This window comes from Homo sapiens, chromosome 14 (genome assembly GCF_000001405.40).
Source record: "Homo sapiens chromosome 14, GRCh38.p14 Primary Assembly".
Taxonomy (NCBI): domain Eukaryota; kingdom Metazoa; phylum Chordata; class Mammalia; order Primates; family Hominidae; genus Homo; species Homo sapiens.
Genome location: NC_000014.9, coordinates 81820182 through 81836426, shown reverse-complemented (window position 1 = coordinate 81836426; position 16245 = coordinate 81820182). Strand labels below are relative to the sequence as shown.

The 16245-nt window shown below is 41.5% G+C and overlaps 1 long non-coding RNA gene across 4 annotated transcripts in view, besides 1 other annotated feature; it reads right to left on the bottom strand.

Moving 5' to 3' along the window:
• LOC107984704 (uncharacterized) overlaps positions 1-16245 on the bottom strand; it is a 336950-nt gene that overhangs the window by 237720 nt on the left and 82985 nt on the right. For 3 of the 4 annotated variants that reach the window (XR_001750835.1, XR_007064292.1, XR_001750836.3), the window contains exon 3: positions 8526-8620. This is a non-coding gene — a long non-coding RNA (uncharacterized LOC107984704). Of the gene's footprint in view, positions 1-4715; positions 4877-8525; positions 8621-16245 lie in introns of those variants that run through there. The other variant, XR_001750837.1, reaches the window with a different exon arrangement.
• Positions 7515-8714: an enhancer, noted in NCBI's record as "BRD4-independent group 4 enhancer chr14:82294057-82295256 (GRCh37/hg19 assembly coordinates)". NCBI's record gives its function as "activates an origin of replication core promoter dependent on BRD2, P300/CBP, MED14 and CDK7 cofactors, and independent of BRD4, by STARR-seq in HCT116 cells {active_cell/tissue: HCT116}" and the evidence as "EXISTENCE:reporter gene assay evidence [ECO:0000049][PMID:35650434]".

The following is a 16245-nucleotide window of genomic DNA, read 5'->3' as shown; positions in this document are numbered from 1 at the left end:
AATGCAGGGCACCATGTCCCAAGGCTGCACAGAGCAGTGGGGCCCCTGGCCTGGCCCATGAAACCATTTTTCCCTCCTAGACCTTCAGGCCTGTGATGGGAGGGGCTGCCAGAAAGATCTCCAAAATGTCTTGTAGGCGTTTTTCCCATTGTCTTGGCTATTAACATTCGGCTCCTCTTTATGCAAATTTCTGCAGCCAGCTTAAACTCCTTCCCAGAAAACGGGTTTTTCTTTTCTACTACATGGTCAAGCCACAAATTTTCCAAACTTTTATGCCCTGTTTCCCTTTTAAATATAAGTTCCAATTTCAGACCATCTCTTTGTGAATGCACATGAACATATGCTATTAGAAGCAGCCAGGCCACATCTTGAATGCTTTGCTGCTTAGAAATTTTGTCCACCAGATGCCCTAAGTCAAGTCTCTCAAGTTAAAACATAAGTTGATCTCTAGGGCAGGGGCAAAATGCCACTAGTCTTTTTGCTAAAGCATAGCATGAGTGACCTTTACTCCAGTTCCCAATAAATTCCTCATCTCCATCTGAGACCTCCTCAACCTGGACTTCACTGTCAATATCACTATCAGCATTTTGGTCACAACCATTCAAAAAGTCTCTAGGAAGCCCCAAACTTTCCCTTATCTTCCTATCTTCTGAGCCCTCCAAACTGTTCCAACCTCTGCTCATTTTAGGTATCATTATAGCAATGCCCAATTTCTCTGGTGCCAAATTTCTGTATAAGATCCTTTTCACAGTGTTATAAAGACATAACTGAGACTGGGTAATTTATGATTAAAAGAGGTTTAATTGACTCCCAGTTCCACAGGCTGTACAGGAAGCATGGCTGGGGAGGCCTTAGGAAACTTAACAATCATGGTGGGAGGAAAGGGGAAAGCAAGCACCATCCTCACATGGTAGAGCAGGAGAGAGAGAGTTAAGGGGGAAGTACTACATACTTTCAAGCAACTGGATCTCATGAGAACTCTATCATGAAACAGCACTAGGGGGATGGTGCTAAACCATTAGAAACCACCCTCATGATTCAATCACCTCCCAACAGACCCCACCTCCAAAACTCAGGATGACAATTCAACATGAGATTTGGGTGGGGACACACAGCCAAATCATATCAATATTGAATACTGAATTCAATATATTTGAATACTGAATTCAATATATTTGAATATTGAATTCAATTTTTTAATACTGAATTCAATATTTTTAATATTGAAGGTTGTGGCACCTCAGCTTCAATGAGTCTTCAGAAATAGGCAATTTTTATTAGAAATATTTTGAATCTGGCCAGGTTCAGTGGCTTACATCTGGAATCCTAGCACTTTGGGAGGCTAAAGTGGAAGGATCACTTGATCCCAGGAGTTAGAGCTCAGCCTTGGCAACATAGTGAGACCCCATCTCTACGAAAAAAAAAAAAAAAATTTTAGCTGGGCATGGTGGTATGCACCTGTGGTCCCAGCTACTTGGGAAGCTGAGATGGGAGGATCACCTGACTTTGGGAGGTTGAAGCTGCAGTGAGCTGTGATCGCATCACTGCACTCCAGCCTGGGAGTAAGACAGAGTAAGAACCTGTCTAAAAAATACATATATATATATATATATATATATATATACACACACATATTTTATATATATATACATGCACACACATATACCCATAGAAACTTTAATGCAAAGTCTACTAGAAACAGTAATAGATAAAAGACAGCCACCAATTCTTTGACATGCCTCCATCCAGAAGTGGAGTGTGCTTCTCTTTCCCTTGGATAGGGCTGACTGGAACTGCTTTAACCAATGAAGGCTGATGGAAGTCATGTGATGCCATTTCCAGGCTTAGACTTTAAGAGAGCTGGCAGCTTCAACTTTGGCATCTCTTGGTAGCTGACTCACCCCATAAGAATTCTGACAACCTGCTAGAGAGATCACCTGAGGGTATGTGGAGAGGGATCTCAGCTTTTCAGGTGTCCATCAAGGTGCCAGGATGTAGGATGAACTCATCTTGGGCCCTCTGGATGAATCCAGGCACCAGTTATATACCACCCAGTAACCAGAGTCTCTGCCATGTGGAGCAGAATAGCAAAGCCACGTCTTGCCAAATTCCTGTCCCAGAAAATCATGACAGATAATAAAATAGATTTGTTTAAGCTGTTAAGTGTTAAAGTAGTTTATTAGGCAATAATAGATAACCAGAGCTTAGGGCAACAAATTAGCTGGTATGACTGGCTACCATCCTCATGGACATGTTTCAGGATGGTCTTCTAACAGAATCATGAGGAGGTGAGAGACAGCCAGACCCACTTCATGGAAAGTGTAAGTCGTAGAAGCATATGGTGCTACTGGTAAGATAAAAATGGTCTGGGTGAGGAAGAAGAAAAAAATACCACTGGTTTCCCTGGTTGCTCTATCCCACAATTCTACCTGCACACTACCCAACTTTTAAGAAATGGCCTGTTATTAATATTTTGAATTTACTTGATTATCTTCCCCACTAGGCTGGAAGGTTCCTGAAATCAGGGATCTCTTGCCTAGATCCTCAGCATCTAGAGAAAATATCACAAATGAGTTACGACAGGTTTCAGTTTCTAGTCCAGCCCTGCTATTCCCTAGTGATGTAGCCTTCGGCAACTTAACCTCCATGTACCTCAGTTTTGTCATCTATAAAGAAGGGGGAATAGTATGGTGCCTATCTCATTGAGTACTAAGAATTGAATGACAAAATATACTGCTTGATTAATAAATAAAAATATCTACTTCTTGATAATCTTGTACCTGGCTAGCCCTGGTGGACTGATTAATACCAACAAAAGTACTTGCTTGTACACTAAAGATTAATTACAATACTAGTAGAGACCTCGGAAACCAGACTAGGCAGAGGTCTCAAAGAACAGGCTTTTTAGGGGAACATGTTGTGGTGCTAATTGGAGATCTCCAATCCAATTCTCTTTCACTTATATCCACCTCATAATAGGAGCAGATTTGTCATGGCCCCAAGTTATCTATTGGACTTGGGTCATTGTGAAAGAGAGGACAGGAAAGACTCTTTAATCCCTAGGCTGGAAAGCAATAGCCCAGCTTCAAAAGTTGGTTCTTACCCTGGCCTCTGCTGACCCAAGACCCAGTTTCCCAAGGACATGGTAAGTATAGATATGGTTCAGTAATCAGGAGATCTGACAAAAGGAAAAAAAAAGCAGAAAAAAAATGGAGAAACAAATGCTAAATCCACGAGGCTACACATGATGTGGTTCTGCTGTGCTGGAGGTGGCTTCTGGTGGGCAGATGGTGGGAGGCAGGGGTGAAGTGACTGAAGCCCTTGTGATTTTTGCTGGGGTCTCCATAACTAAGAGTAAGCTGGGCCAGTAGAGGAAGGGCTGTCAGTGTCTTCAAGTTCAGCAAGTTCTGGAGAATGTTAAGTAGTTAGAATGTTAATCCTGATAGCCACAAACGCAGTTTCTAGAAGAAGGAGGAAGGGAGGGAAGAAAGGAGAAAGAGAAGGAGGAGAAGGAGAGTGGGGAGGAAGAAGAGGAGACAACATTTTGGGGAGTGAGAATAGCAGAGGGATTGAGGACACAGCTTCTGGAGTCCATATTCCTGATTGGTATCCCAATTCCATTACTTCTTGAACAAACTAGTTAACCTCTGTAAGCCTGTTTCACTCTCTGAAAAGGGGGCACAAAAATAATATGTGCCTCAAAAGAGTTTGGGGATTCAGTGAGATATTTTAGTTATACCCTAAAGCATGATTACCCCATTTAAAGTATCTATTGCACTCTTCCACTTTTTCTTCCTCCATTGCATATAATGCCCTTGAACATTTAAAACTGTGGGTGTGGGTGTGAGTTTGTGTAAACATGTATATACACAGGTGTGTTTGTGTGTATAAACTGTACGTGTGCAGTTTATTCTTTACTGTTTTTCTCCCTCTACTAGAATACAAGATTCAAGAGGGCAGGTATACTAATTCTTATTTTTTAATGGGTCCCAAGTACTTAGAAGGGTACCAGGTGACTAGCAAGTACTTGGTAAATATTTTTTGAATGAATGAATAAGTGGAGGTAAAGCACCTAACTTACAATAAATACTCAATGGCTTCTACTGTTATTTGCTAACTCCTGCTGCTTAAATCCTGTCTGGATTACATTCTCAGAAGTACTGTGTTCCATAATGCTGAGCTCAGTCCTTCTGTACAGCACTTACCGCATTTTTCTCATATTATAACTTCTCTATTTGTGTATCTTATTTCCTCTCCAAGAATAAAAGGGGAGCAATTAGATTATTAGGTTCAGTGATTAAAGACCAGGCCATTATGTGTAGTGGTTAAAAGAATAGACTTTTAAACCAGACCTCAGTTTGAATATTCAGTTTTGCCACTTACTGGGTGCCCTTGGGCAAGTTATTGTCACTAAGCTTAATTGTTCTCATCAACTTAATGAGTATGATAGTTGTTCTTCCCTCATAAAATCGGTTTGAAGATTAAATGAGATACTGCTTTTAAAATGCTTAGCACAGTGCCTGACACATAATAAACAGAAAATAAATGTCAACTGTGATTATTCATCATTGCCTCCCTCTTGGTATTTTGCATGATGCCTTACATAAAACATCCTATAGAGCAAACAATCACTGAATGAATGCATCTCAAACTTAACCTTAAACAACCCAAGGCTTCCCACAGTTCTCTTAATGTTCTCTCATTCTTCCCTGCTTTGTCCTCAGTCCAAGTCTTCCTGGACAACTGAGTTCCAATTTCCCCTGCAGACTGATTGCATCACCTCTCATGTTATCCTGCTCCCAGTGGCGAGCCAAAGCTGTCATTCTTACAGCAGTCTGGCAGGGCTGCAGATGACTCTTCAGGCTCGCTCTCTAGTCTGTCACAGATCAGGTCAAGCAACAAAAAAAAACAGATTAGATGCCAAGGACTTACTGCATTTTAATGCTTGGTTCCTGGCCCATGTATATGCTGAGGGACAATAATTACAACAATATGACCTTGCTTAACAAATTGGTCTGTCAAACCAGGTCTTGCAAAATGACTTGGATGAATTCAAGCTTAACTTGTGATCTTCCAACTCAACAGTTGCTATACACACACTGATTAACATGGTTTGGCTGTGTCCTCACCCAAATCTCATCTTGAATTGTAATCCCTATAGTCCCCACATGTTGAGGGAGTGACCCAGTGGGAGGTGATTGGACCATGCTGTTCTCATGGTAGTGAGTTGAGTTCTCACGAGATCTGACGGTTTTATAAGGCAGTTTTCCCTGCTCTTGCTAGCTCTCTCTTTCCTGCTGCCACATAAGGAAGGTCTTTGCCTCCCCTTCACCTTCCACCATGCTTGTAAGTTTCCTGAGACCTCCCCAGCCATGTGGAACTGTGAGTCAATTTAACCTTTATAAATGACCTCGTTTCAGGCAGTTCTTTATAGCAGTGTGAGAATGAACTAAGACATTGATCTACCATATTCACTGTCAAAACTGAAAGGAAATGGAAGCAGACATTCATTCATTTGTTCAACAATTATTTGCTGAGTGCTAAGCTCACACTGTTGAATGAGACATAGCTTCTTGCACTTTGAAAAAGCTTATAGTATAATGGTAAGGATCACAGAAAAGTCAATGTTCTACGTAGAATAATCTAAACTCAAAAACTTCAGACTCATTCTGGAAAGCTTAGCTGGTAACTAAGGCAAGGACTAGGAAAAACCTATTTGGAAGAAATGTGGCATTTGATATGTTTTCCTCAATCATCCAGGTAATTCTCTCATTTTCAGTTCTCTCTGCCAGGGCAAATTTGAAGACTCCTTTGTGTACGAAATAAGGAACATGTTCTATCACTGATGTCCTCAGTGAAGATGTCCAGCTGGTTTTATCTACTTCTACCTCGGTCAGTGTATTAATTTTCTATTGCTGCTATAACAAGTTACTATAAACTCAATGGCTTAAAATAACACAAGTTTTATATCTGACCGTTATGGAGGCCAGAAGTCTGAAATGAGTCTCACTAGGCTGAAATTAAGATGTCAGTAGGACTGTCTTCCTTTCTGGAGCCTCTAGGAGACAGTCTGCCTTATTGCCTTTTCCAGCTTCTAGAGGGTCTCCATATTCCTTGGCTCTTTGCCAGCTTCCACTTTGAAAGCCAGAGAAATGGCAGGTTAAGTCTTTCCCATGTCACATCATTCTGGTACTAACTCTCCTGCCTCCCCCTCCCACACTTACAGGCCCCTTGTGATTACACTTGACCTGCCTAGGTAATCCAGGAAAACCTCCTGGTATTAAGATCAGCCAATTAGCAACCTCAATTCTCCTTTGCTACATAACGCATTTAAAAGTCGAGTATTAGGATGCAGACATTTTGGGGGGACAATTGTTCTGCCTACCACAGGGATGTAAGCTTTGCTTTCATGCCATTATTACTGAGAGGTGACAGCCTGCTGGCAGCCCTCGCTCACGCTCAGCGCCTCCTCGGCCTCGGCGCCCACTCTGGCCGCGCTTGAGGAGCCCTTCAGCCCGCCGCTGCACTGTGGGAGCCCCTTCCTGGGCTGGCTGAGGCCGGAGCCGGCTCCCTCAGCTTGCCAGGAGGTATGGAGGGAGACGCGGGGCGGGAACTGGGGCTGCTCGCGGTAGGCCAGAGCAAGTTCTGGGTGGACATGGCCTTGGCGGGCCCCACACTCCGAGCAGCTGGCCGCCCCACCAGCCCCGGGCAGTGAGGGGCTTACCACCCGGGACAGCAGCTGTGGAGGGTGCGCCGAGTCCCCCAGCAGTGCCAGCCCGCCGGCGCTGTGCTCGAATCCTCGCCTGGCCTCAGCTGCCTCCCCACCGGGCAGGGCTCAGAACCTGTAGCCTGCCATGCCTCCCCAAGCCCTGGGCTCCTGCACGGCCTGAGCCTCTCCCACGAGCGCAGCCCCCTGCTTCGGGGCCCCCCCGTCCCATCAACCACCCAAGGGCTGATGAGTGTGGGCGCATGGCCCAGGACTGGCGGGCAGCTCCACCTGCAGCCAGGTGCAGGATCCACTGGGTGAAGCCAGCTGGGCTCCTGAATCTGGTGGGGACTTGGAGAACCTTTATGTCTAGCTAAGGGATTGTCGATGCACCAATGGGCACTCTGTATCTAGCTAATCTCCTGGGGACTTGGAGAATCTTTATGTCTAGCTAAGGGATTGCGGATGCACCAATCAGCACTCTGTATCTAGCTCAAGGTTTGTAAATGCACCAATCAGCACTCTGCATCTAGCTCAGGGTTTGTAAATACACCAGTCAGCACTCTGTGTCTAGCTCAAGGTTTGTAAATGCACCAATCAGCACCCTGTGTCTCTAGCTCAAGGTTTGTAAATGCACCAATCAGTGCTCTGTGTCTAGCTAATCTACTGGGGACTTGGAGAACTTTTGTGTCTAGCTCAGGGATTATAAACACACCAATCAGCACCCTGTCAAAACGGACCAATCAGCTCTCTGTAAAACAGACCAATCAGCTCTCTGTAAAATGAACCAATCAGCAGGATGTGGGTGGGGACAGATAAGGGAATAAAAGCAGGCTGCCTGAGCCAGCAGTGGCAACCCGCTTGGGTCCCCTTCCACACTGTGGAAGCTTTGTTCTTTTGCTCTTTGCAATAAATCTTGCTGCTGTTAGCTCTTTGGGACCACACTGCCTTTATGAGCTGTAACACTCACCGCGAAGGTCTGCAGCTTCTCTCCTGAGGCCAGCTAGACCACGAACCCAGGAAGAATGAACAACTCCAGACGCGCTGCCTTAAGAGCTGTAACACTCACTGCGAAGGTCTGCAGCTTCACACCTGAAGCCAGCAAGACCACGAACCCACCAGAAGGAAAAAACTCCAAACACATCTGAACATCAGAAGGAACAAACTCTGGACACGCCGCCTTTAAGAACTGTAACACTCACTGCGAGGGTCCACAGCTTCATTCTTGAAGTCAGTGAGACCAAGAACCCACCAATTCCAGACACATTACCATACCCTAAATATTCGGAGTGAAAGAGAGGAAATATTTCTGAATGTCTCAAACAATTGGATGTAGATAGTGTAGTAGGTTGGATGCAGAACTAAGTCTTCAAACTCAAGTCTCAGAACATAGCAAACCCCTTGTCAGTGGATAGTCTGATATCATCAGAAGGCTACAAGAAGGACAAGTGTGACTCAGATTTCATACAGATCCCTGGAGGTAGTTCTTGATGCTGAATAATCCATGAGATTTAACATCTTTTCATTTCGAATAACCATTTCTCCCTCTCTCCCCATTTTTTCTCCAGCCTATCTTGTATCTGATTCAGAACTGGGAAAGCTCTAGAAATTTGAATAAGAAGATGTTCTTCCTACCAACATTAGCAACTTTTGAAATGATTACTCAGGCCAGGAACTTTGGAATCATTATTGATTCTCCTTTTCCCAGCACCCCATATGCAATTCTTCAGTAATACTTTTTGGCTCTATTTTTCAAATATATACCAAATTGAAGTACTTCTCATCACATCTGCAACTCCCATCCCCCTTCAGCACTCACCATCTCACGCCACGTCTATTGTGATGGCCTGCTCTGCTGGCTTTTCTGCTTCCGCTCTTATTTCCAGGATGTTCTCGATCCTGAAACCCGAAGTGCTATTTTTAAAACAAAAAGCAGATCATGACACTTTTTTCCCAAATGCTTCTTCAGTGGCTTTCCACACACTTAAAATAATATTCACAATCCACATCATGGTTTGCAAGGCCCTATGCAGTCTGATCTGGACAAACTCCCAACCCTATCTACAAACATCTTTTCCTCCTTGTTTCTCACTTAGGGCATTTTACACACACCAATCTCCTGCCCATACAGCATTTTCTCCAGGTCTTCCCATGGTCAGCTGCTTCATATTATTTAAGATGTGATTTGAATGTAGGGTAGCAAGATGAAGTTGAATACATTTGTGAAATCTGAATTTCATATTAACAATGAATAAATTTTTTACTATAAGTATATCCCATTGTCAGAGGCATTTTAACTAGAACAACTCCATCTTGAATAGGGGGTAGGTAAAATAAGGCTAAGACCTGCCAGGCTGCATTCCCAGTAAGTTAAGGCATTATTACTCACAGGATGAGATAGGAGGCTGGCACAAGATACAGGTCATAAAGACCTTGCTGATAAAAACAGGTTGCAGTAAAGAAGCCAGCTAAAACCCACCAATTCAAGATGGCAATAACAGTGACCTCTGGCCGTCCTCACTGCCTCACTCCCACCAGCAATATGACAGTTTACAAATGCCATGGCAATGTCAGGAAGCTACACTAGGTGGCCTAAAAAAGGGAGGCATAAATAATCCACCCCTTGTTAAGCATGTAATAAAAAAAAAGCCATAAAAATGGGCAACCAGAAGCCCTCAGGGCTGTTCTGTCTATGGAGTAGCCATTCTTTTATTCCTTTACTTTCCTAATAAACTTGCTTTCACTTTACTGTATGGATTCGCCCTGAATTCTTTCTTGTCCAAGATCCAAGAACTCTCTCTTGGGGTCTGGACCCGGACCCCTTTCTAATAACTCCATGAAAATACATACTGGGCATCCTGTATATTTATTTGCTAATTCTGGCCATCTTATTTAAATGACATTTATTCAATGAGGTATCTAAACACCCTCACCTCCTTCACTTTCTATCTTTTTAACCTGATGCTATTATTAATATTACTGTTATTGCACTTGTATTAATTGCTTATTAGTTTATGTTTATTATGTATCCACCTGAGTAGATGTAAGCTCCATGAGTTAGAGAACCTATTTTATTCACACAGTAGCTCTAGAACCAGAACTGCCTGTAAGACTTAATAAGATTTGTTTAAAAAAATAAATGAATAAATGTCTAAGTTTATTTGACCTTTATGCCCTGATTTATATGGTACCTCCCTTTTTCTCCTGAAAGCAGTATACAGCTGCCTGGGCTGTTGGGAAGTCACCAGGAATTTGATTATCACAGACAGCACTTAAAAAAAAAGAGCCCCAATCGATGTTTCAAAATATGCTCCCATTAGATGTATTTATGCAGATTAGCACTGGTCAAGCACTATAGGGGTTTCAGTCAATGTCAGACCCTCTGCCATAGAAGGACACTGTGAATGGCATTTCCCTTTCTGTTTGAGAGGAATGAGGAGCAGCTGGCATGAGACTCCTCTGGGAATCCATTTGCATTTAATTGTCTGGGCACTTAAGGAAGAGGTAGGGTCACTTTCCCAGTTCTGCTTTCCTATTAATTTAAATGCATACATTCAAATCAACTTCTTCTTTCTGCCTGGATGGGGACAATTACTATATTTGACATTTGCTAGTCCTCAGCAATGCCTGAGACTTGTGAATAATTTAGGAATGCTGAGTTGTTCCCTAATCAAGACAACTGAATGGCAGTAAGAGCTGGCCTTGTAGTATCAGCAGCTCCCTGCCAAAAATGACAGCATTAAAATAAGGAAAGTGATAGGCACATTTAGAAGAAAAAGCACTATCCCACAGAATTCTGCAATATGCTCATTCTTTGAATATAATCTCTTTCTGATATTTATATCACTATAGCTACAAATAACAACTCGATATATGGTTAACAAGAACGAAGAGAAAACTCACCAGTCCTATACTCTGAATTTTATGGAAAAGTTTCTGCCCCATATAGGCTGAGCCCTCATTCCTCAAAACCACATGCCATGATATGGAATATATGGTCATTGTTTGTTCAATTATCAAAACTACATCAAGTAGCTACTATGTGTTAAATACAATCTAAGAACCAGGGATACGATTTAAAAAAAAAAAAAGACACAATCTCAGGGTACACAGAAGTTATTGATAGAAATAGTTATTAATCAAACAATGCCATGAGTATATGTAAACTTATCCATTGTAGTAAGCGCTATAAAGAAAAACTTTTACAACGAGATGAGAGGTCAATATAGGAAAAACTGATTGGGAATAGTGAGAAAGGAGATGGCTGGTGTCAGAGAAGCTTTTTTTGAGGAAATAACTTGAAAGATGAGATTCAACAAATGAGTTAAAATTTTTCAGAAGAGGACTAAAAGTCTGGGTCTTCAAACTGATGGGTTTCAGGACATGCTACCCCAAAACATGGCACCTTGGAATACTGAATATTTTCAATTAAGGTGAAGAAATTTGAGAAATGACAGAAAGGACTCTGTGACCTTCCCTAGCACTTCTCCCCTGAAGCAGGTCATAAGACCTTCAAGTGAGAAGTGCCATAAGTAAAAACCATCCTTTGCTCCAAAGATGGAGGCATGCTGATAGGAACCTGCATGAAGAGGTCTTGGCAAGTTACCCCTAGTTTACTCCCCTTCGCTCATACCCTTTGTCCTATCACATTTTCCACGCCTTTTTACTCTTCGTGGAACCTAGCATAAATATGCTCAGGTTTAAGCGTTTCTTTGAATCTTCATTTCTTGTTTGAATCTTCATTTCTGTGTCACATAAAACATATATTAAATAAATGTATATTTTTTTCTCTTGTTGATCTGCCTTTTGTTTCAAGGACTCCAGAGGAGAACTTAGAAGAATACAAGGAAAAGATACTTTTTTTCTCTACAAAATTAATCCTACATGAAGGCTCAGTGACAGGAACAAGCTTGTAGCATTTGAGAAACCAAATGGAGTTCAATATGGCAGAAACCTAATAAGCCAGGGACAAAGTGGCAGAGAGGGACTGAAGCAGGACACAAATTAGGTAGCAGCAGGGCAAGGGAGGGCTCGTTGGCCACCAGGAATAAAATTTTATTCTCAGTGCAAACACCTAACTTGTCTTAAGCTGGTGAGCAATAGGATTAAAATTGCATTTCAAAAAGTTCTCTCTGACTCTTGAAATAAAACTAGCTTGGAGGAGATACTCTAGAGTAGGATGAAGGCTCAAAGATCCATTGGTGAGTAAGAAAGGAAATATCAGAATACTGGTATTTTTTAATCAGAACTTCTATTCTTATGCATATTTATAATGCAGAAGAAATACTAGTGCAGTACTACAAGTATAATGTTAACATATAAACAAACATGTATTGGAAGTGTGTCCTCATTGATAAAAGGATAAGAGCACAGGATCAAAAAATACAAGGTAACGAATAGCTCAGGCAAGTTAGAAGCCCATGGAGAAAACGAGAGGGGGGAATTTGAGATGGTTATATGTAAGAGAGGGAAAAAAAAAACCTTTCCTCTACCCTTTTAAGTTCTCGGGCTAGAACCTGAGAATTAGACTGACAAAAAATTAACAAGAGAAAGGTATAACAATTTTATTTGATAATAACATTCTAATTTTTACATGCATGGAAGTCTTCATAGAAATGAAGTAGAGACCCAAAGAATGAGTAGACACAGGGGCATCTATGCCATTTTAACAAAGGATGATAAATTTGTGAAGAAGTGACAAGTCAAAAGAGAAGAGGTTGAACATTTAAGGGCAATAAATGGTGGGAAGAAACATGTAAGAGAAAACAATAAAATATAAGAGTGATTTTTATAAAGTTTGTCTGTGCAGACTCATTTTGATGCTGACATTCTGTCTGCAGTGATAAGGATTGTTTTGATCCTGGTATAATGGAGGGCAGAGGCAATACCTTCACAAAAGGAACCATATATCCTGCTTTTAGGTAGATGGGAAGAGGGCAAAATAGTCCTATGCCAAAGAGATGTATTTTGAAGTGGCATAGACTGGTTTATTTTATACCCAGGGTGTCCCTCTCTGCAGATGATGCTGCATAGCGTTGCTCCCTTGGGGAGAAACACATTCACAAACCAGCAGTCACAATCAGTGTCCTTCTAGGACTTCAGATTTTGGGGTCACACTGCAGACACCAGGCTTTCTTTTCCCTCCACATTTTAACATATCTGGCAAGTCTCTACAGATATGGTCCACCACCAGACTTTTAATTATGCCCCAGTGGTATGGTTTGACTTCATCCCCACCCAAATCTCATCTTGAATTCCCACATGTTGTGGGAGGGACTCGGTGGGAGGTAATTGAATCATGGGGGCAAGTCTTTCCTATGCTGTTCTCATAACAGTGAATAACTCTCATGAGACCTGACGGTTTAAAAAGAGGCATTCCCCTGCACAAGTTCTCCCTCATTTTGCCTGCCTCCATCCACGTAAGATGTGACGCTCCTCCTTGCCTTTCTGCCATGATGGTGAGGCCTCCCTAGCCATGTGGAACTGTGAGTTCTCCATTAAACCTCTTTCTTTTGTAAATTGCCCAGTCTCAGGTATGTCTTTATCAGAAGCATGAAAACGGACTAATATACCCAGTTTCGGGTTCTCCAGAGAAAGACTGTTCATCTTTTTAAGGTCCTCTCAAGGCCCCCTGAAGTAAATTATGCATGTCTCACATAGGGTACATTTTGGGTTCTACTATCCCAAATATACCATCTAAATTTGGTAAAAATCCATCTAGGCATTTTCTTGAGATATGATAATGGTCAAATAGAAATCTGAGCTGCTACTATTCCTCTCCATCCTCACCCAAGATCATTATTTGAATGCCCCACAAAGAATGATGGGCTGGGGTAAGTCTGTGACAGCTCTCAGGACTCATTTTGCATTTTTTATTGTGAGGCCATTTCCCCAAACCCCAAGGCATGGGTAATCTTTACCACCATCTTCTTTGACTTGAGCTCAGTATCCACTAGCCAGGAAATTTAAAAAACAAAAACAGAAACAACTCAGGCATAGTTTTCTTCAATATGTTGTGCAATTGGAAAGTTTGCTTGGTTGTGGTAAGCCTGGATATAACTGAGAAATTTCACTATCTTTAACCTCAATCTGCATAACAAAGTCGATGTTAGCTGCTTAGCATAATGGGAAGATATTCAGAATACCACCCACGCTTGGGATGTTCAACAAAATACAGGCAGACACAGCTCTGAATCCTAGGGCTCAGGATGAAGGAGGAAGTCACCCTCCCTCACCTCTTCCCACTGTGTGGAGGGCAGCCAGCCAGGGACACAGGTGTGCAGCTCATTAAGAACAGAATTAAGCCCAACGGGATAGGGAACAGTCATATGAAGAATGTTCTGCAAAGTAAAAGCACTCTTTTCCTGCTCTGACCTTGGGGAAGGAATCAGGAGGAAAATCCTCCTTATTTACCTATTGTCTGCTGTGCTATCAACCCAATACTAAGAGCCACAAAATGGTTTTACCTCTTGATCTGCAGTGAGAGGCCCTGCAATAAAATTGTTTTTACTAATATATTGAAGGAAATGTCTGCTGTTTTTACTAAACATTGAAGGAAATGTATATTGGCACATAAAGAACTGTCCTGAGTGATGAGGGAAGTAATGAAAATAGCACTGAAGGGGATTAGAAAATACCACTCCAAAATATGCCACTTTGGCAAAAGGATTATTTTGAGTTAAAGGTAATTAAGAAATAGCAGACATGGAAGAGATCGCTCCCCTCTGCCCTCCCTGTTTTCTGCCTAAAGCAGGACATAAATTACCCTTTGTAAAAGTGACATAAATTTCTATTTGCAAAAGTGTTTCTCTTTCTTGTACCAGGAAAAGAGCAATGACTCTTATGTGTATAACAAACTTAACAACCCTTATCTCATATATATTTTCTAGTCTTTCTTCACAACTCACTGCTCCTAGGAGCCCAAACTTCTTTTCCTTTGTCTAGCTGCTTCTCCATAAATTTATCACCCTTTGTTATTAGGAAAAATAGCTAATGCATGTTGGGCTTAATACCTAGGTGATGGGTTGATAGGTGCAGCAAACCACCATGGCACACGTTTACCTATGTTTTTAACATGTGCACATCCTGCACATTTACCCCAGAACTTAAAATTAAAATTTAAAATTTAAAAAAAGTTTATTGCCCTTTGTTAAAGTGGTATATAAGCCCCAGATCTAACCACATCTTTAGGTTTCCACTCCTTTTCTGTGCGGGCTCCTGTGCACATACAGTTAAAAATAAGATGTATATGCCTTTTCTGCTACAAATTTGCCTATTGTCAGTTTATTTATTTATTTATTTTTGCAGATGGAGTCTCGCTCTGTCGCCCAGGTTGGAGTGTAGTGGCGCAATCTCAGCTCACTCCAAGCCGCTTCTCCATAAATTTATCACCCTTTGTTATTAGGAAAAATAGCTAATGCATGCTGGGCACCTGAACCTCCCAGGTTCAGGTGATTCTTGTGCCTCAGCCTCCCGAGTAGCTGGGATTACAGGCACCCGCCACCACGCCTGACTAATTTTTTTTGTATTTTTAGTATAGAAGAGGTTTCACCATTTTGGCAAGGCTGGTCTCAAACTCCTGACCTCAGGTGATCTGCCCGCCTCAGCCTCCCAAAGTGCTGGGATTACAGGTGTGAACCATTGGCCTGACCACCTTTTGTCAGTTTAATTCACAGGCTCCAACAATAGAACCTAGGACGGTGGAATAAAATGTTTTTCTCCACTACAGCAGAAAGTCAACATTCCAATGTAATACCAAAATATGTGAACATAACTAAAATATTATTTCCCCATTAACACTGTTTCTTGACAATAAAGACACAGTGAAGTTCTGGTGGCTAAATTTCTCACTCCACTCACACCAGTTTCAGAGAAGGTAAGCTTCAAATTGGTGCCTTAGCAAAACCAAAGGTTACTTTATTCTATAGGTTTTAATGGTTTTAATAATAAAACTAGAAACAAATCCTCAGTGCCTAAGGCCTATTATATACTCTGTTTTCAAGAAGAAAATGGGTACACAGAGCCCATTAGTTTAAAGTAGTAAACAAAATATGGCCAGATAGAGGCAGGATGGGGAATTTCTGAGTGTAGACTATATGAGAAACTAGGGTTTTTGTTACCCTATCATCTTAATTTATTCTAAAACATTAAATACCACAAAAAAAATTATATCTGATTTATTTTCCTGAAGGTCCTCTGGAAGTATTTTAGTTTCTCTGAGTTTCGGAGGATATAATATCTGACAAGTATAAATAATGTCAAATAAAAAATAAATCTGGACTTGGTAAGGAGAAACTTTATTCAAAAGAACTATTGCAAGGAATACCTGTGGGGCAACAATTGCAATAGAGAGAGGGGTACTATTGCAATAGGAAGAACATTCTGATTATAAGATCTGTAAACACCTCAAGAGTTAGGCAAAAAGGATTTTTCTTTTATAGAGAGGAGTGAACACAGTGGAACTGTTTGAATGGTTGTTCTCTCTAAAACTCATGTTGATATTTAACTATCATTGTAACAGTTAAGAGGAGGACCTTTAA